The sequence below is a fragment of the Homo sapiens genome, chromosome 12 (genome assembly GCF_000001405.40).
Source record: "Homo sapiens chromosome 12, GRCh38.p14 Primary Assembly".
Taxonomy (NCBI): Eukaryota; Metazoa; Chordata; class Mammalia; order Primates; family Hominidae; genus Homo; species Homo sapiens.
The window spans coordinates 71,686,078-71,706,882 of record NC_000012.12 but is presented as its reverse complement, the minus strand read 5'-3'; the positions used below and the strand labels follow the sequence as shown (position 1 = coordinate 71,706,882).

The following is a 20,805-nucleotide window of genomic DNA, read 5'->3' as shown; positions in this document are numbered from 1 at the left end:
CCACTACACCCGGCTAATTTTTGTATTTTTTAGTAGAGAAGGGTTTCACCATGTTGGCCAGACTGGTCTCGAACTCTTGACCTCAAGTGATCTGCCTGCCCCGGACTTCCAAAGTGCTAGGATTACAGGCATGAGCCACCGTGCCCGGCCTTCTTCCTAGATTTTTCTAGGATGTAAGCACCTGACTTGAAGCAGCAAAAAGACAATACTAATTATAACAATTTCATTGAGTTTAAAATGTGTTAAAACACACTTAAACAAATTATGTACAAAATATTGCAAATTTATTTATTTTTATTTTTTAAAGATAGGGTCTCACTCTGCTGCCCAGATTGGAGTACAGGGGTACAATCATAGTTCACTGCTGCCTTGAACTCCTGGGCTTAAGCAATCCTCTTGCCTTAGCCTCCTGGGTAGCTGGGACTACAAGCACACACCACTACACCTGGTTAATTTTAAATTTTTTTGTAGTGATGGGGGTCTTACTATGTTGACCAGGCTGGTCTCAAACTACTGGCCTCATGCAATCCTCCTGCTTCAACCACCTAAAGTGCTGGGATTATAGGCATAAGCCACTGTGCCTGGCCCATATCCCAAATTTATATCAGTAATTAGCTTGGGGAAGATAGGAGGAGCTCAGAGTTGCTGAGGAGATAGTGGGGGCAAAAGAATACTGGGCGTGGTGGTGCACGCCTGTAGTCCCAGCTACTCAGGAAGCTGAGGCAGGGGAATCACTTGAACCCAGGAGGCGGAAGCTGCAGTGAGCCGAGGTTGTACCACTGCACTCCAGCCTGGCCACAGAGCGAGATTCCTTCTAAAAAAAATAAAAAAATTTTAGCTTTATGTCTAATGTTGTAATTTTTATTTATTTTTATTATTACTTTTTAAATTGAGACAGAGTTTCTGTCACCCAGGTTGGAGTGCAGTGGCGCAATTATGGCTCCCTGTAGCCTCCAACTCCCATGCTCAAACAATCCTCCCACCTCAGCTTCCTGAGTGGCTGGGACTACAGGTGTACACACCACATTTGGCTAATTTTTTATTTTTTGTAGAGACGGGGTCTTGCTGTGCTGCCCAGGCTGGTCTCAAACTCCTGGCCTTAGGTGATTCTCCCACCTTGGCTTCCCAAAGTGCTGGGATCATAAACATGAGCTACCACATCTGGCCTAATGTTGTAATTTTTAAAAAGGAATAGTCAGTGTATTATTTAATATTAATAAAAATTTAAAAATCCAAACTTAAAAAAAGAGTTGCCATATTTATAAAATAAATTTTTGGCTGGGTGTGGTGGCTTGCACCTGTAATCTCACACTTTGGAAGGCTGAGGTGAGAAGATCACTTGCGCTCAGGAGTTCAAACCCATTATGGACAACATAGGACATAGTCTGGATTCATCTCTGCAAAAAATTAAAATAAAAAAAAAAAGTAGCCGGGTGTAGTAGTGCAAGTCTGTAGTCCCAGCTACTTGGGGGCTGAGGCGGGAGGATGACTTGAGCTGAGGAAGTTGAAGCTGCAGTAAGCTATGACTGTGCCACCGCACTCCAGCCTGGGCAATAGGGTAAGACCCTGTCTCAAAAAAATAAAAAATAAATAAAAATAAATCTTGTCTAGATTCACGATTAGATCTACAAAAAAAAATTTTTTTTTTGAAGAGGGCAGTTATGATAAATGGAGAGTGAAGTCTTGTCAGAGAAAATAATTTCAAGCCTCGCCCTGCCACTCCTTCACTTCTTCAATAATTTCCTGGCTCATTAGTTTCAAAAGCATTAATATTGTTTTGCATGATTGAAAAATGCTGGAAACATTCCAGTTCTCAGAAATTCAGGTAGCCAAACTGGTTTTTCATTTTGTATTTTCCTCCAGGAATATGGTGCTGATTATCACCTTCCAGTCATTCTTAAAAGAAACAATGATTAGAGTCAAACAACTTAATTCAATGAATACATATTGAATGCTTAAGTATTTTTAAAATATCAAGAACCACTTGGAGTTATAAAAACAGATACTCCATAAAGGAGATTAAATAATTAAGCCACATAATTGTGTTTTCCTTTTTTTTTCAAGATGGAGTCTTGCTCTGTCACCCAGGCTGGAGTGCGGTGGCACGCTCTCTGCTTACTGAAACCTCTGCCTCCTGGGTTCAAGTGATTCTCACGCCTCAGCCTCCTGAATAGCTGGGACTACAGGCATGCGCCACCATGCCCGGCTAAGAGATGGGGTTTCACTGTGTTGGCCGGGCTGGTCTTGAACTCCTGACCTCGTGATCTGCCCGCCTCGGCCTCCCAAAGTGTTAGGATTACAGGCATAAGCCACCTCGTCCGGCTGTGTTTTCATTTTTAAAGCACACCACAATTCACCTGAGATCTGGTGGCTAGTATAGATCATTCTCATTGTGATAGCACTGGGAACATTACATAAAACTTCAGGAAGATCAGATGATTGGGCCCTAGTATACCCACTGTGCCTAACAGGCAGCAGCTGTTCATATCACAGGTATGCGGCAAAGTTTAAAACATCATTTCACATGCTTTTTCTCTATACTAGTCCTTTATCTAATTGGGGCGGGGCTGCTATTTCTGCAGGCAGCATCCTATGTGTACAGCAGCTAGAAACAGGAAAGATATATGTGAGAAACAGATAACTCAAGTAATGAGAAAAGCTAATAATAGAATGACCTGCTGTATCAATTCTTTGGTCTCTTGGTGGCTCCATTTAATGAGTTTTCAACATGCTACTCCTGCAAGTCTTCTTCAGGAGCTGCCCCAAGCCACATATATCTGCTCTCTTCTATCATGGAACAGTATGATAAGAAACAGTACACCTTTATGCTGCTAGGTAGGCAGTTTTATTATGCTGTTACATAGAGCTCTTTCCATGAAAAGTGATTTTAACATGAACTGCCCATTCTGCAAAGAGGAAAAATATGTTGAATTAGTTAAATATCCAATTCAAAAGATGTTACAGTAAAATACATGTAAGACTTAACAAAAAAAAAAAAAAAGGACAGAGACACAATTTCTTATCCTCAATTCTCATCTCCAAAAAGCTATGAAAACCAGTTTATTTACAAAGCTTGGTGACAAAACCTGACCAAACTTGATCTGAGGCTCTTTATGATCTTTAGTTATACTTAGTGGGGATGTTCATAAATCACCACAAAAATAGGAGTATATTTGATAATGAGCTGCCATCCCAGACTTTTTTTTAGTAGTTTTGAGTGAAATATTTTACACAGATCCTATTAGTTTTTGAATAGCTCAAAAATTTTGATGCAAAACACAGCTAGACCTAAGTTTTCAAATAAAGGACTGCAAAGCAGTACTTCCCCAAACTGTTAATGATACAGTGATTCTACTAAATTCAAAGACAGTCCCAATAAATATTTTTGTCCCCTTGTATGTCATGAGGATAAATCTCCAGGGAAAAAAAGGGCATGTCAGAACGATGTGCAGGCTGTGTGAAAACTGACACATGATTTTATAAATGATGTAGCTGTAAGACACTGTGTCATTACCAGAAGTTATTCATCCATAAAGATAACATATTGTGTGGTTGCTAATAGTTATCTCCCTAAAACCGAAAAGTCCCATTCTTTTCAAGTGCTTAGATACAGTGCTTTAGGACATTCTTATGTAGTTCTAGTGCTTAGAATATTCTTTTTTTTTTTTTTTTTTTTTTTTTTTTTTTTTTTTTTTGAGATGGAGTCTAGATGGAGTCTCCCTCTGTTGCCCAGGCTGGAGTACAGTGGTGCAATCTTGGCTCACTGCAACCTCCACATCCCAGGTTCCAGCGATTCTCCTGCCTCAGCCTCCTGAGTGGCTGGGAATACAGGCACGCACCACCACACCTAATTTTTTGTATTTTTAGTAGAGACGGTGTTTCACCATGTTGGCCAGGCTGGTCTCGAACTCCTGACCTCAAGTGATCCACCCGCCTCGGCCTTCCAAAATGCTGGGATTACAGGCATGAGCCAGTGCGCCCGGCCCAGGATATTCTTATTCAGTGCTTCTCAATTTGGTTAAGCATTAGAATCTCCCAGAGAGCTTTGTAAAAATACCCATGCATGGGCCTCATTGTCCAACATTCTGACTAACTTGGTCTAGAAAGGGGCCCTGGCAACAATGTTTTAAAAACTCCTTACATGATGATTCAATGTACAGTCAGAGCTTTAAAAAGTCTCAATATCCAGGCTGTACCTTAGATCAGATAAATCAGAATTTTGCAGTGTGAAACCCAGACATCAGTACTTTTTTAAAAACATGCCCTGGTGGCTGGGCACAGTGGCTCACATCTTGTAATAGATCTTTGGGAGGCTGAGATGGGCAGATCACTTGAGGTCAGGAGTTCGAGACCAGCCTAGCCAACGTGGCGAAACCCTGTCTCTACTGAAAATACAAAAATTAGCCGGGCGTGATGGTGCACGCCTGTGATCCCAGCTACTTGGGAGGCTGAGGCATGAGAATCACGTGAACCCAGGAGGCGGAGCTGAGATCATGCCACTGTGCTGGAGTCCAGCCTGGGCCACAGTGTGAGACTCTGTCTCAAAAAACAAACACATAAACAAAAAAAGCAAACATGCCCTGGTGCTTCCAATGTATACCCAAAGTTTAACCCAATTGTTGCAACCCCCTGATCTAACTGGCTTAAAGGTTAAGGGTGTGATTGTTTTTTCTTCTGTCCTGAAGTAAGTCAGTTCTAGATCATCACCATAGTAGGGCCACCAATAAAGAATTCTAAGCATTATCCACTCTGGTGGTGGTGTATTCATAAATCCTTCCCCAGTTTCTTTAAAAAAGCAAAAGGGGCAGGAGGAAGAAGGTACAGAAATCACATGAGAAACATTTAAAAATACTTTTAGTAAAATACTCTGTACCCTGTCAAAACTCCTTTGGCACACAGTAAATCATAGTGAAGAACAAACATAGCAGAATTGCCTTAGTTGAGGCTACAGTGTAAGAGAGAATACAACTTAGAAGGTAATAATAGAAAAATCATAGCATTTTCCAGCAATTGATATGACAGTAAATTTATAAAGAAATACAATAATTTCCCAGTGACTCTTAACTGTTCAGGATGCCAGTGCTAAACCAGGTTGCCATACATAATTCAAAGAAAGCTAGAAAACACATTCCACATATTAAATTGAAGATAATTTTTGTTCAGAGAGCAACTGAAACATATAGTAAGTTATATATTTTTTAGATATAAGATAAAATTCTTTTGCTTTTAGTTAAAATGATTTTTTTCATACATTCTAATGGACATATGAAAAAGATATTTACTTTTTTTCATCACTAACCCTGAGGAAGGAAGAACAAATGTGGAGTAGGCCACAAAACTCACTAGGAACCAATCTCCACACTTTTCCCAATTGTGAATAGCAATTAATGGGAGAAGTTCAGGATACTACACTTGTTTAGGCTCCCATACACATCAGCTTAAACTATTTAAAATAGATACAACATTTGGGCAACTAGCACAGTGGCATTTCTCTGCTTCAACTGAGAACTATTTTAAATATCATCACTTTTATTTCCTACACTGGTTTAAACAAACAAAACAAAATAAGACAAAACTTGACATTGATTATGTAAGAACTTTCAGTTCAATATATAGTAATATGTAGGGACAATATAGCTTCATTGCTCAAGACTTCCATTCAGCAGGAAAAAAATGCATAAGTTCTAGGAATTCTTCTCTTTCACTAGAAAGACGCTAGCTATTACAGGGGAGTTGATGAGAGGAAAATGTGAAATCCCATCTCAATGGAATACAGGAGGAACTGGCATTTCCGCTTTGCCATTACAGTTATTATTCTTAGGATGAAAGTTGGAATTGCAAATTTAGCTGGACTCACCAGTTTCAACCTGTGGAAATGAAATAAAGTTCACCCCCTGGGCCAAAAACCCCAAGCAGCAGTTGGGAGCAAGAGGGCAATAAGAACAGAAGAAAACAGATTCACTGCGTTGTTATCAAGAATGGGTTTCCCTGCTATGTGCCTTGCCTTATTTGTTGGGCTGTTGACCACCATGCCAGTGCTTTCATCCAACCCTGGAATGGAAAAAGAAGCAAGTGAGATAGAAAACCCAAATGACTTCATTTTTTTTCTTTTCTTTCTTTTTTTTTTTTTTTATTATACTTTAAGTTCTAGGGTACATGTACTTGATTTTAAAAAAAGAACAAAATAGGCTTTTTCCTCCAAAGGAGACAATCTTTGAAAGGTTCTAAGTGACTTGCTAAATGACTTTAATGGATCATTTATATGATGAGAGACATGGGACCCTTGATTACAAATGGCCTCTTTGAATAAATGGGTTCTCAGTAATTTTCTGTCAATACCTCTGGAATTGCTTCAGAAGTGGAAGAGAGAACATGAAAAGCAGAGAGGGCATGAAACTGGCAGGTTGGGCCTGCCTTCCCAGTGGTTCCCCTCCAAGACTGATCTATGACGTCCTTGGGAGTAGGGATCATGTCTGTGGCCACAGTACTGTAAACGCAGGGTTGAGCATGGGGCTGGCACAAAGGAGGCACACAAAGATTTACAAAATCTCCCCTACTGCATGCATTTCTTTTCAACCCACTCAATGCAATCAGAAACTTCCCCAGTTAGAACCCAATTTAGAATAAAACCTACACTCTTTAAAAAACATGTTTACTGTCTGTGTGTGCGTGTAGAGTTATTGACCCTTTAGTGAGAATTAAGATCAGATTGCTTCGTCCTTAAAATCTAAATGAGACTAACAAAATGGAGAACAAATATTCTGACTGATGGAGAGGGGGAGGAAGGGCACATAGATTTTCTGAGGCATGAAGAGTGCTGGGAGGACTATACTGAGAGAACCCTTCTCTAGCCTTCCAACCTCTTCCTGATGTCAATCAAAGGAGAAACATGGTTGATGAGAGTGTGGAGCAAATACACACCTAACAGAATATGTGAGTACACTGATAGGATGGGAGAGCCTTAGAAACAAAGCACAGAAAATTTTGAGAAAAATATCTACCACTCTACCATATATCTTTTTTCTTTTTTTTTGAGATGGAGTCTTGCTCTGTTGCCCAGGCTATAGTGCAGTGGCATGATCTCGGCTCACTGCAATCTCCGCCTCCCAGGTTCATGCAATTCTCCTGCCTCAGCCTCCCAAGTAGCTGGGATTATAGGCAGGCGCCACTACACCAGATAATTTTTGTATTTTTAGTAGAGATGGGGTTTCACCATGTTGGCCAGGCTAGTCTCGAACTCCTGACCTCCAGTGATCTGCCCCCCTTGGCCTCCCAAAGTGCTGGGATTATAGATGTGAGCCACCGTGCCCAGACATCGACCATATATCTTAATGAAGCAAAAAACTCAGGGGCAAGAATAGCAAGCATGATACCACAGTAAGAAAGTAGGTCGTGTGTATAGTCAGATTTGTACAATTACTCCTCAAATGGAATAGGAAAATGAATGGAAGGAATTGTATTAAAATGATCTGATCCCAAACGTCTTGCTTTTCTGGGATTAGGTAATGGCTCACACAAAAACGTCTGTTCTCTGCACTATTGTATCTTCCCCACATGGCTTCTAATCATTGCTGCGCGGGACTAATTCTCTTTCAATTAATTTAATACAAAAGAATAAGAAAACCAAAATTGTGAAAGAGACTTTGCCCTATCATTTCTAGTCCCTCAACACCCTGTGTCTTTGGATTTGTTTTCATTGTTAACATTTTTTTCTTTCTTTTCCCTATTTCTTTAACATACCAATAAGTTGCAAGAATGAAGGAATGTTCTTACCAGTATACTGCATTGTAGCCCCTAAGTATGAGTCCACAATTGATCCTAGTAATCCAGCTAAACCACCAAATGCAATAATTGGCCACTGCGGGGCAGAAATGTCTAAATCATTCACAAAAATCAGCTGTGTGAGGAAGTATGCAATGCCCACAAAGGTACCACCAAGGAGACTGGAGACAAGGCCCACCACTGTAACTCCTCCATTGGTACCTGAAGAAGAAACATGCAGAAAATCATCCGGTTAATAATCAGCAAACACATAAAGGCAAGGACAGCAAGGTACCTATCTAATCAAGACTAATTTAAAGAAAGCATTCTCTTTAATGCAATCTAAAGACTGTAGCTTTTTAGAAAACAGTATTTTCTCCTCGGTAACTCTTGACATTTTAAGCAATGAAGCAGAATGGTTCAATGAAGCCAGACTGCCTGGTTTCAATCTTGGTTCTGCTTCTCTCTCTCTCTCTCTCTCTCTCTCTCTCTCTCTCTCTCTCTCTCTCTCTCTTTTCAGAGACAAGGTTTTGCTCTATCAACCAGGCTAGAGTACAATGGTGTGATCATAGCCTACTGCAGCCTCCAACTCCAGGCTCAAGTGATCCTCCCATCTCAGCCTCTCTAGTAGTTGGGATGACAGGCATGAGCCACCTTGCCAGGCCCAATTCTGCTACTCTTAAGCCATGTGACTGTAGTTAATTTATCTAACTTCTTTGTGCTTTAGTTTCTTTATAAGATATAAATAATAAAAGAACCAATTTATATGATTATTAGGAGTACTAAGTGGCAATCCGTGTAAAGCAGTTAGAATAGTGCTCTGTAGTAGGTATCTAAAATATGCTAGCTGTTACAATGATGATGAAGAAGAGGAGAAAAAAAAGGAGGAGAAGGTGATGATGGGGGATAGGATGGGTAGAAAGAAAAGAAGGGGACGAAGAGGAAGAGAAGCATCAGAGGACAAAAAGAAGCAGTATAGGTTGAGTATTCTCTTTACTTGAATTGCTTGAGACCAGAAGTGTTTTGGATTTCAAATTTTTTCAGAGTTTGGAATATTTGCATTATATAGACTTAACAGTTGAACATCCCGAATCTGAAAATCGTAAATCTGAAATGTTCCAATGAACATTTCCTGTGAGCATCATGTCAGTGTTCAAAAAGTTTGAGATTTTGGAGCATTTTGGATTTTGGATTTTCAGATTTGAGATGCTCAACCTATGTAGTTGTTGATAATGTTGATAATGGAGAATTGAGATATATCTTAAAGCACTGATATCCTAACAGGCCCTCAATAAATATTCTATTGTTCCCTCTCTTTTCCTTCCCTACTGATATGTTTGCAAATCAATCTCTATGTTCCTGTATTGCTTATCTAGGTCTTGCTAACATTTCCTGCAAATATTATTTATTATTACCAATTTAATAGTCGACAGAAATTTTCCAATTATTATTTAAAGAGACTAAATAAAGTTCTTAAAAGGCTCTAAAATACATTACATCAAGAGGTTTTTTGGTTTTTTTAAAGAATCTCAAATCAAGACTCACCAACTGTGTCTACCAATGGGTCAAAAAGAAGAAAAAACTCACCAACTGGAACTTTCTCCCAGGTTGTTATCAGTCTTGGAGAACTTTTACTCAGAACTGGGCCAACTTCTGAAGCCCATGTGTCTCCAGCAGAGCAGGCCAGTGCAGCCAAGAGAGACAAACACATCCAGGAAGCGGAGTACTGCTTGGAAAAATCGACTGGGATTTCCCCGGGGCCATTTTCTATCATGTACAGCAGGGCCAGTTCTGTGGGTACAGCTCCATTACAGAACACCTGAACCCAATTCCTTTGCCCACCTGGAAACAAACAGATGAAAAGGACAAACAAATGATTCCTCCTTAGAAGAAAAACCATGCAGTTATAGGTGTTTATGTTTTAAAGTTTAAGAAAAGAAAAACAACAAAAAAATTTAAAAACAGTAAAAGTGTTATGGTACATTTGCCCAGATTTTATACTGTTATTAACAAATCTGGAAAAATCATGATAGACTCTAGTGCTTCTAAAATTCTGCTGTCATTTCCCATTGTTGTGAAATAAATTATAAACTCAATTTGGCTACTAAAGGAATTCTCATATAAAATTGATGTGTTTTGACAGTTTAAACAACATTCTGATTAAAAGCTTATGTTGGCTGGGCGCAGTGGCTCACGCTTGTAATCCCAGCACTTTGGGAGGCCGAGGCAGGCGGATCACGAGGTCAGGAGATTGCGACCATCCTGGCTAATACGGTGAAACCCCGTCTCTACTAAAAATACAAAAAAATTAGCCAGGCATGGTTGCAGGCGCCTGTAGTCCCAGCTACTCAGGAAGCTGAGCCAGGAGAATGGTGTGAACCCGGGAGGCGGAGCTTACAGCGAGCCGAGATTGCGCCAGTGCACTCCAGCCTGGGCAACAGAGCAAGACTCCGTCTCAAAAAAAAAAACAAAAACAAAAACAAAAAAAAACCTTATGTTAGGATTAAATGAAGTTTACTATTTTGAATGATATCAAACATAATTTTACCTTCCTTATATTCTGAATCTAGACGCTTCTTCACTTCTCCCTTCCATTTAGTGAGTTTCGAAGAAGACAAGAAAAACATCAGCAAAGAGGTAAAAAAGCTGAAATTTGCAATGGTTAGGATAAATCCAACGACTAGCCCTGAAAGAAACATATATAAACACAGAATTATATTCAATTCATACATCAATGCTGTGAAAAAAGAATGGATTTTTTCCATTATTTTTATATTATAACCTGAAATGTACATTTCTAGCAATTTGCATTTTACCAATTAAATTCTTAGCAAGCAGTAAACTGAATGCCATTTTGAGTACACATTTTTTACCATATTTTAATCTCCTTTCAAGCAATGCCATATGAATGTAAGATAATATTTTAGATAATATTTTTAAAATTATCTTAATTTAAAAAAATTAGAAATAGAGATGGGGTCTCACTATATTGCCCAGGCTGGTCTCAAACTCCTGGGCTCAAGCAATCTGCCCAGCATTGGCCTCCTAAAGTGCTGGGATTGCAGGAGTGAGCCACAGCACCTGGCCTTCTTTTTCTATAATAACCCTTTCCATTGCTTAGCTCAAAGTTCAGATATCATAACCAATGAGATAGTTACTCATTGACCCTTCCAGAGATACTCAATTACTGGTATTTAACTTTGGTACCTTTTAATCGAGAGTACAGAAACAGGGTAACTTGATATAAAGTATTAATAATAACAAAGTGCTTCAGCTCTGGAGTTGAACAGTCTAGAGTTCAAACTGTGGCTCCTTCACTTACCTCTTCAAGATTAGGATAAGTTACCTAACCTCCTTAAGTCTCAATTTTGCATTGGTGAAATGAGAATAATCAGAATTCTGACTTTACCGGCTTGCTGTAAAAAGTCAGGGATAATTTTTGTAATATGCTTATTATATTATCCAGGATGTAAGAGGTCCTTAATAAGTGTTACCTAATATCATGGATACTAATAACAGCAACAGTTCCAGTGGCAAAAGCTCAACAATAATAATGATAAATATTACAATATTGTTATCCAACCTTTAAGTTTTTTCAACTGATTTTTAAAACATTACAAAAGTTGTATGCAACTACTGAAGGGGAAAGTCAAAACACATGGAAGTATACAAACTGAAAGTCAAAGTGTCTCCCCTCCTCCTCTTCATGAATATTCACTGTTAACAATTTGTTCCACCGTCTCTAAACAAACCCAAGGTAGAAGAGCCCTACACAACCTACACTGAGATGTTACAAATGGCATCTATATCCTTTTTACTTCAGCCACCTTAAAATACCACATGAAGCAATTAATGTTCATGTTGGTGACAGCTTCAGATTGAGGAAATGAACAAGACAAGCTTTGAGGGAATGGTTTCTTTCATGCAGTGTAAAGATCGCTTGGAACTTTTGGCAACTCCTACCTATGTCTACATTTTAGATTAGTAACTGCTATCTCCTGTTCATACCTTTTCTACCTCTCCATCCTGCAGATCTCTAAATATCATTGATAAGGGGTTCATATATATGACAATAGGGCACTCCCAAATAATTTGAAGACTTGAGGACTATGGTTGCCTTGTGAGCCTAAAACAGGTAAATTCTGTACCTAACAGATAGCATTGGGGGAGTAAAATGACACTGTCTACAAATTTCTGACAATGGGAGTAGAGTTATACCCCAAATTCCAACCAGGGTGACCTGGGTAATCTCCAGGAGGCATAAAAGAGAAAGGCAGGACTGGAATTTCATAGTAATTTAATAAACTCAAAGCTCACCTATTGCTTCATACATATTCTATAATAATTTACTTGGCTAGCCCAAAATGTAGAAAGTGAAGGCCAAAAGAACCAGAGGTTGGCAGACTTCTTGAACCATGTCCAAGGGAGGGGAACCTTTGATTTGTGGATTTGCATAACTGTTTCTCAGACTTTGTACTCACCAAAGCAGCCTTCTAATTATAATCTGACTTCTCAAGTGGCCTGACTACAAGAATAGGGCATGCCTGAACAGTGATGTTTGTGTTCTTCTGCCTGGTAGTTCTTCTATCTGATTAATGAAGTGGCATTCTGGCTCATATAGCAATCCTTTATGACAATGAGCAACACTCAACCAGTTTTCTAGGCTCTAATCAACTCTGGGTACATGACAGAGTGAGGCTTCTACTTCAGAAAGACTGAAACCAGACCCAAAGTATAGTGACCAAAAAGAGGTCAGGCCACCCTTGTGAAACCACACAGAGCACCACCAGTGGCCTTTCCTGACAACACCCCCTCTTGCTGTGCTCTTCCACAAACACTTTGCCACAAATCCCCCTCATGTGACCCTCTCCTTATTCTGGCAATGCTCGCTCTCTCTCCAAGAGACCAGAGCCCTCCACTTCAGTGTGCAGCTTAGAGACTGACTGTGACTGAACCCCTGCCTAATCCTCTTAACACTGAGGTATATGTTTCTGTCATGAATGGTTCTAAATACCCAGATCCTGAGGAAGTTCTGTAACTCTTACTTCTAAATCCTAGACACACTAAAGTCATGATGTAGCAAAGTAAAATTTCTTATAACTGTGTGTATTAGTCTGCTGTCACGCTGCTAATAAAAACAAACCTGAAACTGGGTAATTTATAAAGAAAAGAGGTTCAACTGGCTCACAGTTCCACATGGCTGGGGAGGCCTCACAATCATGGCCAAAGGCAAATGAGGAGCAAAGTCACATCTTACATAGCGGCAGGCAAGGGGGCTTGTGTAGGTGAACTCCCCTTTACAAAACCATCAGCTCTCGTGAGACTTATTCACTATCACGAGAACAGCACGGGAAAGACCTGTCCCATGATTCAATTACCTCCTACCAGGTCCCTCCCTTGACATGTGGGAATTATGGGAGCTACAATTCAAGATGAGATTTGTGTGGAGACATGGTCAAACTATATCACTGTGAATAGCAGTAGTGGAAGGAAAACAGTAATAATAACTAACATCTATAAAATATTTGTATGCCAAGTACTGTGCTAAGCATTTTACATGGATAACACTTCATGATAATTCATTGCTATAGATACCATTATTCCTTCACATTTTATAGACAGGACAAGTACAACACTGAGAGTTTAAGTGACTTGCAGTCATACTCTAGGATAATATTCCCAACTACTATGATATACTTTAAATCAGCATTAGATTTTTTTTTATCCTTAAGGAAACAAAAAGTTCCAAACAGTAAGAAAAGCTGGGTGTGGCGGCGCGTGCCTGTAGTCGCTACTACCCAGGAAGCTGAGGCAGGCGAACTGCTTGAGCCCAGGAATTCAAGGCTGCACTAAGCTATGGTTGCATCACTGCACTACAGCCTGGGTGATAGAGCGAGACCCTGCCTCTAAAAAAAAATTTTTTTTTTGGGACAGGGTCTCGCTCTGTCACCCAGGCTTGAGTGCAGCAGCATGATCTCAGCTCACTGCAGCCTCTGCCTCCTGGGTTCAAGCGGTTCTCCTGCCTCAGCCTCCCAAGTACCTGGGATTACAGGCACCTGTCACCATGCCTGGCTAATATTTGTATTTTTAGTAGAGACGAGGTTTCACCACGTTGCCTAGGCTGGTCTCAAACTCCTGGGCTCAAGTGATCTGCCTGCTTTGGCCTCCCTAAGTTTTGGGATTACAGGTGTGAGCCACCATACCTGGCCATAATTTTTTTTTTTACAAAAAAGAAGAAAAGATAAACAGTTCATAGAATGAAATAATTAGGAAAAAAGCAAAGGTTTTTAAAAATCAGACTACATCTATTCCTAATCATCTATTATGTATCTAGCACTATTCAAAGAAACATGGGACACAGAAGCATAAGATACTCTTTGTCCTCAAGGAGTTTATAATCTAGCAGATTTCCTTTATGCTCAAGCAGATCAAGTGGCATGTTATAGCACTAGGATAATTTTTAGAAACATGCATATTATATTTTTGCTACCTGACTTTAGAACTATCAGTTACTACTGAAAGTAAGTTAAGGACATGCTTCCATCTACTACTACATTTGATCATTTCCAACTCTAAGGGCTGGCAGCAAATAAATGACTTCATGAGATTTGAATCCTATTCAATAAGAATACTTCATTAAGCACTAAGAAGCCTAGAACCAGAAACTTTTTAAGTGAGAATACTTCATTTAATTTTATTCTGCAAGTGTTAGTTTCAGTTTTCTGCAGTTTTCATTGTTTTCTGCCCAGAACTGTCTCTTCATCCTTCAAACCTCTCTATATACTTCTCTATTAATGCAGATGATAATAATAATAATCAGCATATATAATGAGGTAGGAGAGAGGTTGAGGGGGAGAAGTAATGTGAGCAGAGGTACGGAGAAAGAAAGAAATGTTTGTGGCAATGCCAATTTAATAGTCATTCACGTATAAAAATATGGTTGAAACTACATAATCACTAACAATGAACATTTTTGTATAGTTTACAAAGATGTGTTGCCTCATATAATATCTTGTTTGAGATTTACCAATAAGTCCATAAGATATTACTATTGGAGGTATTTCATAAGAGATTAAGAAAGTGAGTCTCCTAGGAGTTAGGCAGCATGCCCAAGTTTGCACTGGTAACAGGTGGCAGTGTTAGGTTTCATATCTTTTAATTCTAATCAACATAGGAGAGGAGCAGATGTCCAAGGGCTACAAGGCAGCCCTTCTAGCAGCAGGAAAGAAACAACAGTAGAGATCGTAAAAGTCAGAGAAGCAGGACAATATACAGCACAGAAGCCCAAGGAAGACAGAATTTCAAGAAGGACTTGACCTTTTTTTCTATAAGAATAATAAATTCCAAGGCAATGATATCTAAGAGCTTTTTTTTTTTTTCTTTTTGACACAGGGTATCACTCTGTTGCCCAAGCTGACTGAAGTGGCACGATCAGCCTCCTGTGTAGTTGGGACTACAGGTGTGCACTACCACGCCAGGCTAATTTTTTTTTTTTTTTTTTTTTTTTTTTTTTTTTGTAGAGGTGAAGTCTCATTATGCTGTCCAGGCTGGTCTCAAACTCCTGGACTCGAGTGATCCTTCTGCCTTGGCTTCCCAAAGTGCTGGGATTACAGGTGTGAGCCACTGCGACCAGCCCAGAAAGAACTTTTTTTAGCAAAGCATAAGTCCATGTTATTATATTTAAGCAGAGATTGTTCAAATTATGTTATAAATGATTTAATACTACCAAAGTGCTAACAGCAGTGCCTGGTACATAGAAAGTGTGACATAAGCATTTGTTAAATAGATAAAATATAACCACTCCTAATACTTATTGATTATATGGTAAAATAAAATTCATATAAAAATATCAGTATGTCTAGTTAACTTTAATTCTCAATTACCCCACAAAAGGAAAAGAAATCTCACAATATAACTTAAACAGTATTTCTTAATTATGAAGAGAATTGGCATGATTTTGAAGAACTCTGCCTAATAATAATAGTTACAAGCACTGAATAAATGTTGGCTATGTGTCCAGGCAATGAGGTAAGGACTTTAAATTATCGCATTTAATTCTCTCTATGCCCTAAAAATGAAATAAGGGGGAGATCCAGGCCTTGTGGAGCCCAAAGTTTATATAATTTGGGGTTCCCTCTTTAAGAAAAAGAGTACAACAGTTTTGACCTTTGCAAAATTGACAAAACCATAGGACCACGAGAGCACATTGCTAGAGTTTATTCAATTTTATCTCTCACTTCTTTTCCTATCGTTACTATTTTCTAGTCAAATGAGCCCTATTATTCTTACTCTCAAATAAGCCTCTAAAATATCTGGACTTTTGCACTTGTTATTCTGTCAGCCTGGAACATGATTCTGTCAGATCTCATTGCTAGCTTCTTCAGATACCAGTGCAAAATGACCTCCGTAGAGAAAAGCACCTGACACCATTTACAGAAGAATGCACTACATCTTCCAACATACACACTTTACAATTATCTTTTCATTTTTCTCATAAACTTCATCATTACCTGAACAGTTTTATATATTTTATTTATTATCTATCTGCCCTAAAGAATATAAGTTCCATGAGAACTGACACCACGTTCTTTTTGTTTACAGATCTATCCCAAGTTTTTAGAACAGTAGTACATACCAGTAAGTGTTCAATAAAAATTTGCTAAAAGAGGGGTCAGGCATGGTGGCTCATACCTGTAATCCCAGCACTTTGGGAGGCCCAGGCAGGTGATCACTTGAGACCAGGAGCTCGAGACCGGCCTGGTCAACATGGCGAAACCCTGTCTCTAATAAAAATACCAGAAAAAATTAGCTGGGCATGGTGGCACACACCTGTAGTCTCTACTCAGAGGCTGAGGCACAAGAATCGCTTGAATCCAGGAGGAGGAGGTTGCAGTGAGCCGATCATGCCACTGCACTCCAGCCTGGGCAACAGAGCAAGACTGTCTCGGGAAAAAAAAAATTGCTAAAAGAATGAATGCATATCCTGTTCTCAACTCAGTTTTGGAAAATTAATCCAGAACACTAAGTTTGGACTGCTCTGTTTTGAGATTACTAACAGCAATTTCCAAAAGTTATTCTCTCCAAATGCTCTATTTTACATATAGGAGGAGTGCTCCAGTGTTTCTGCTGGTAGAAGACTAATCAAACTAAAGGAGCAGAATAGTCAAGGTTCATCTATCCTATTAATCTACTTTGTATCAATCACAGAGTTTAATTTGTATGTTACACTAAAAGTGTACGTTAGTTTCTGAAATTTTGACAATAGGAATGCTGAGCAAGATGTAACTTTATCATTGTCTAAAATATATAACTGTGATTTGTAGTCAGTCTCATATATTCAGAATTTAGAAAACATAAATTTAAATTATATAAGCAAGCACTTAGTAGTTACTGTAAACATTCAAAATAAAAACATACCTCCTAGAGCCCCACTGTGATCTAGACTTTTCTTTTTAAGGCCATTAGAGACGATCAGAACAGGAACAACAACAGAAAACAGCCAACGCCACGGAGAAATAGGTCGTAAGTTACCTGAAAAATTATAAAGGTGGAGCACAAATTGTGTGAAGTTTGCACAGGTTAGTTTTGGCAGTAAACTTCCGTTACTGCTTTTAGACTAAAATACTGTCATAAGTACAAACACCAAGATGAAGTCACCAAAGAAATATATAGTCATGCATCACTTAAAGATAGGGATATGTTCTGAGAAATGCATCCTTAGGTGATTTCATGGTTATGCAAACGTCAGACTGTACTTACACACACCTAGATGGTAGAGCCTACTACACACTTAAGCTATATGCTATAGCCTATTGGTCCTAGGCTACAAACCTGTAAAGCATGTTACTGTACTGAATACTACAGGCAATTATAACGTATTTGTGTATCTAAACATAGAAAAAGTAGAGTAAAAATATGGTATTATAATCTTATGGGAACATGTTGTATGTGTGGTCTGTCATTGACGAAAACATTGTTAGGCAGAGCATGACTGTATTTATGTTGAGACATGCATGCATATTTTCGGAGAAACAGTCTTACTGGAGAATGGCCAAATAGGTTATGTCCAAGTTTTGAAAACCTTTTACTGCTATTTATGATAATAATGGATATCTAGATATTTAAAATGAACCTCTGGTTCATTTTTTTTAAAGGGGGCACGTATTAAATTTCAAGGACTACCTAGAACGAACTCTTTTTGTAACAGGATCTTACTCCTCTCTGCCTGTCAGAGGACAGACACCTCATTCAATGGTTAGAAATTGATTATTCCAGAGGCTGCATCCAGCTCACAGATGTTTGGCTAGCAGAGTGTTTTCAAATAATTTTAGTCAATATTTAAAGATTAGGAGATATCATATAAAAATCCAGATTCTTGGCTTCTGTTTTAAAATTGGGAAGTTCTGGCCAACATGGCAGAATTGACTTAAGGTAAAGAGAGGTGCCCTCCTTTAAACAGGCCGTGGCTTTCCCATTTAAAGTTCCCACCCCTCCTGATAGGCTCCTAAACGCCAAGGCAAAGTGATTTCCTTATGGTAAAGAAAACTGTGAACCACTGCTTGTATCTATGTTTCTATCAAAAATGAGAAAATGGGCCGGGCGCAGTGGCTCATGCCTGTAATCCCAGCACTTTGGGAGGCCAAGGCAGGAGGATCCTGAGGTCAGGAGTTCGAGACCCAGCCTGGCCAACATGATGAAACCCTGTCTCTACTACAAATACAAAAATTAGCCAGGCATGGTGGCAGGCACCTGTAATCCCAGCTACTTGGGAGGCTGAGGCAGGAGAAACCAGAAGGCAGAGGTTGCAGTGAGCTGAGATCGTGCCACTGTACTCCAGCCTGGGCAAAAAGAGCGAAACTCCGTCTCAGAAAAATAAAGGGGAAATGAAAGACAAAGAGGGCCCAAGCATTCAACAAAAGATGAGAAATATCCTATTTCTGGAAATGAAAACTATTACCACAGGTCTAATACACAAAAACGTACACAGATTCATTTGCATTAGGTGACTGGCCCCAGAGGGATATTTCAGTTTACAAATCCTGATTTATTCCATTTAGTTCAAGTCATAGTAAATACTGTCACTAACAAGAATCTTTTCTTACACCCCTCCCCTAAAACTCTGATGCCCCACTGTGAATCATTATGAACGAACTGCACTGAGAGCTTCTGTAGCCTGGAGAACCCTTTCCAACTATTCACATGTCTCTTTGCAAAAAGCCTACAGTCTGAAATGGCAATCCCTTACGATACAAGCATTCTCATTCTCCTTTTCATTTTTCCTTTGTTGCAAACTGACCAGTATTTTGTTTTCATAGGAGAAGGAAGTTTGTGTAAATGGAGGCTTATGCTCTAAAGCACCTTTAAAACTTTAAAGATCTGAGTCCAGAGTACCTTATATTTAAGCAATGTAGCTTTAGGCTTTAAAAGGAGTCTATTCTTTTGAAGCAACCAAATGGCAGATAAGTCCTTCAGCTCTCCAAATGTAAATAGTATACCGTTTTTAATTCTTATTATTTTTACAGAACATGTGAAACTGATAAACTACATTACTACTTTTTTTTTTTTGAGACGGATTCTCGCTCTGTGGCCCAGGCTGGAGTGCAGTGGCTCAATCTTGGTTCACTGCAACCTCCGCCTCCAGGGTTCAAGTGATTCTCCTGCCTCCATCTCCCAAGTAGCTGGGATTACAGCTTTTTTCTAGTTTTAGTAGAGCTGGGGTTTCACCGTGTTGGCCAGGCTGGTCTTGAACTCCCGACCTCAGGTTATTTGCCCGCCTCGGCCTCCCAAAGTGCTGGGATAACAGGCGTGAGCCACCGCGCCTGGCCCATTACTAATATTCTTATTCAAAATTAAAAGCATCACTGTAATTGCTTTACAAAGCTATATTCGCCTCACTTATCTTTTACCAAGACAGATGGAATAGTTACATAAAATATAAAGACATTTTGAAATAGGTGTAACTAGTCCAGAAGTGGTGGCCTGTATTGCCAGCACTTTGGGAGACACAGGTGGGAGGATCACTTGAGCCTAGGGGTTTGAGACCAGCCTAGCAACACAGAGGGACCCCTATCTTATACAAAATAAAAATTAAAAAAAAAAAGAAATAGGTATAACTCGAATTATCACAACAAGCATTTATTAAAGGCATTGTTTATACTATCATGTTAGTAAGTTAAATCAGGCTATGGAAGTTAAGTAAACACAACCATTCATAACCATTCAGAGGATATGAGTTTTGGATTTCACAATGGTATGGTTTTAATTTCCTCTGACTAGATTACAGAGAAACAACTTAGAACACTCAGACTTACCATAATAGGTGCTTGCAGTCATTGATATAATCCAGAAAGCTAACGAAATGCAAATGATCAGGCTCAGTATAACTATATTAGTTATCATCTTTATATATCTTTTGCATATATTGTCGTTAAGATCTGTCATGGAAAATAAGGATATGAGCTCCTGCGGGAAAGAATATTTAGCGTTTCGGAGAGAAAGTCATTTACGATGTGAGCAAGACACTTGTTCAGAGGCAAACATAAATCCCAACATATTCCACCGACCAAACAAGCATAAAAATCACAAAAATTCAAACTCCTTCCGGAAACTCCTACTGGCGGAGAGCTCCAATTCATATGGGCGTGGTCAACGCCTCACCGCAAAAGCAGAGCGCAACCCGGCGGACGGTGAGGGCCGGTCGCCGGCTGCCGGCCGCTTCAGCGCCTCACGCCGGAGCCCACGGGGAAAAGAGAAAGCCGAGGCAGCCAATCCGCGGTCCCGGCGCTGGCGAGTTCCACCCACCTCCCGTCGCAACCTTCTCACCCGCGGGCCGGGTAGGCCAGCGGCTGCAAAGGGGCAGCTAGGGCACCCGAACTTGGGCAAGTCTGGGAAGCACGCCCGACGCGGCTGAACGCAGTCACGTCCCGACAGCTGCGCAAGCCGCCCTAGGGTCAGGTCCAGCCGGCCAAGGCCGAGACCCCAGGAGCAAAGCCCGCGCCTCCCGGCGCCCCCGCCTCTAGCGCCTCGCCCGCTGTGGGCATGCGC

General features: G+C 39.8%; 1 protein-coding gene across 1 annotated transcript, besides 4 other annotated features; it reads right to left on the bottom strand.

The window, feature by feature from the left end:
* Positions 1–1,835: 1,835 nt before the first annotated feature.
* TMEM19 (transmembrane protein 19) lies at positions 1,836–20,801 on the bottom strand. Its single transcript, NM_018279.4, has 6 exons — positions 20,073–20,801; positions 17,179–17,292; positions 10,310–10,447; positions 9,349–9,603; positions 7,774–7,983; positions 1,836–6,051 (listed from the first exon to the last, which is right to left on the bottom strand). Exons 1-6 carry the CDS (start codon positions 20,200–20,202, stop codon positions 5,888–5,890), a joined length of 1,011 nt encoding a protein of 336 aa, NP_060749.2. The 5' UTR covers positions 20,203–20,801; the 3' UTR covers positions 1,836–5,887.
* Positions 12,253–12,352: an enhancer, noted in NCBI's record as "active region_6662". NCBI's record gives its function as "activates an Ori minimal core promoter by ATAC-STARR-seq in GM12878 lymphoblastoid cells {active_cell/tissue: GM12878}" and the evidence as "EXISTENCE:reporter gene assay evidence [ECO:0000049][PMID:35858748]".
* Positions 18,836–18,905: an enhancer, noted in NCBI's record as "active region_6661". NCBI's record gives its function as "activates an Ori minimal core promoter by ATAC-STARR-seq in GM12878 lymphoblastoid cells {active_cell/tissue: GM12878}" and the evidence as "EXISTENCE:reporter gene assay evidence [ECO:0000049][PMID:35858748]".
* Positions 20,254–20,469: a silencer, noted in NCBI's record as "fragment chr12:72080194-72080409 (GRCh37/hg19 assembly coordinates)". NCBI's record gives its function as "represses an EF-1alpha promoter that drives an FKBP-Casp9 reporter gene in an ReSE screen in K562 erythroleukemia cells {active_cell/tissue: K562}" and the evidence as "EXISTENCE:reporter gene assay evidence [ECO:0000049][PMID:32094911]".
* Positions 20,460–20,529: a silencer, noted in NCBI's record as "silent region_4658". NCBI's record gives its function as "represses an Ori minimal core promoter by ATAC-STARR-seq in GM12878 lymphoblastoid cells {active_cell/tissue: GM12878}" and the evidence as "EXISTENCE:reporter gene assay evidence [ECO:0000049][PMID:35858748]".
* Positions 20,802–20,805: the final 4 nt, after the last annotated feature.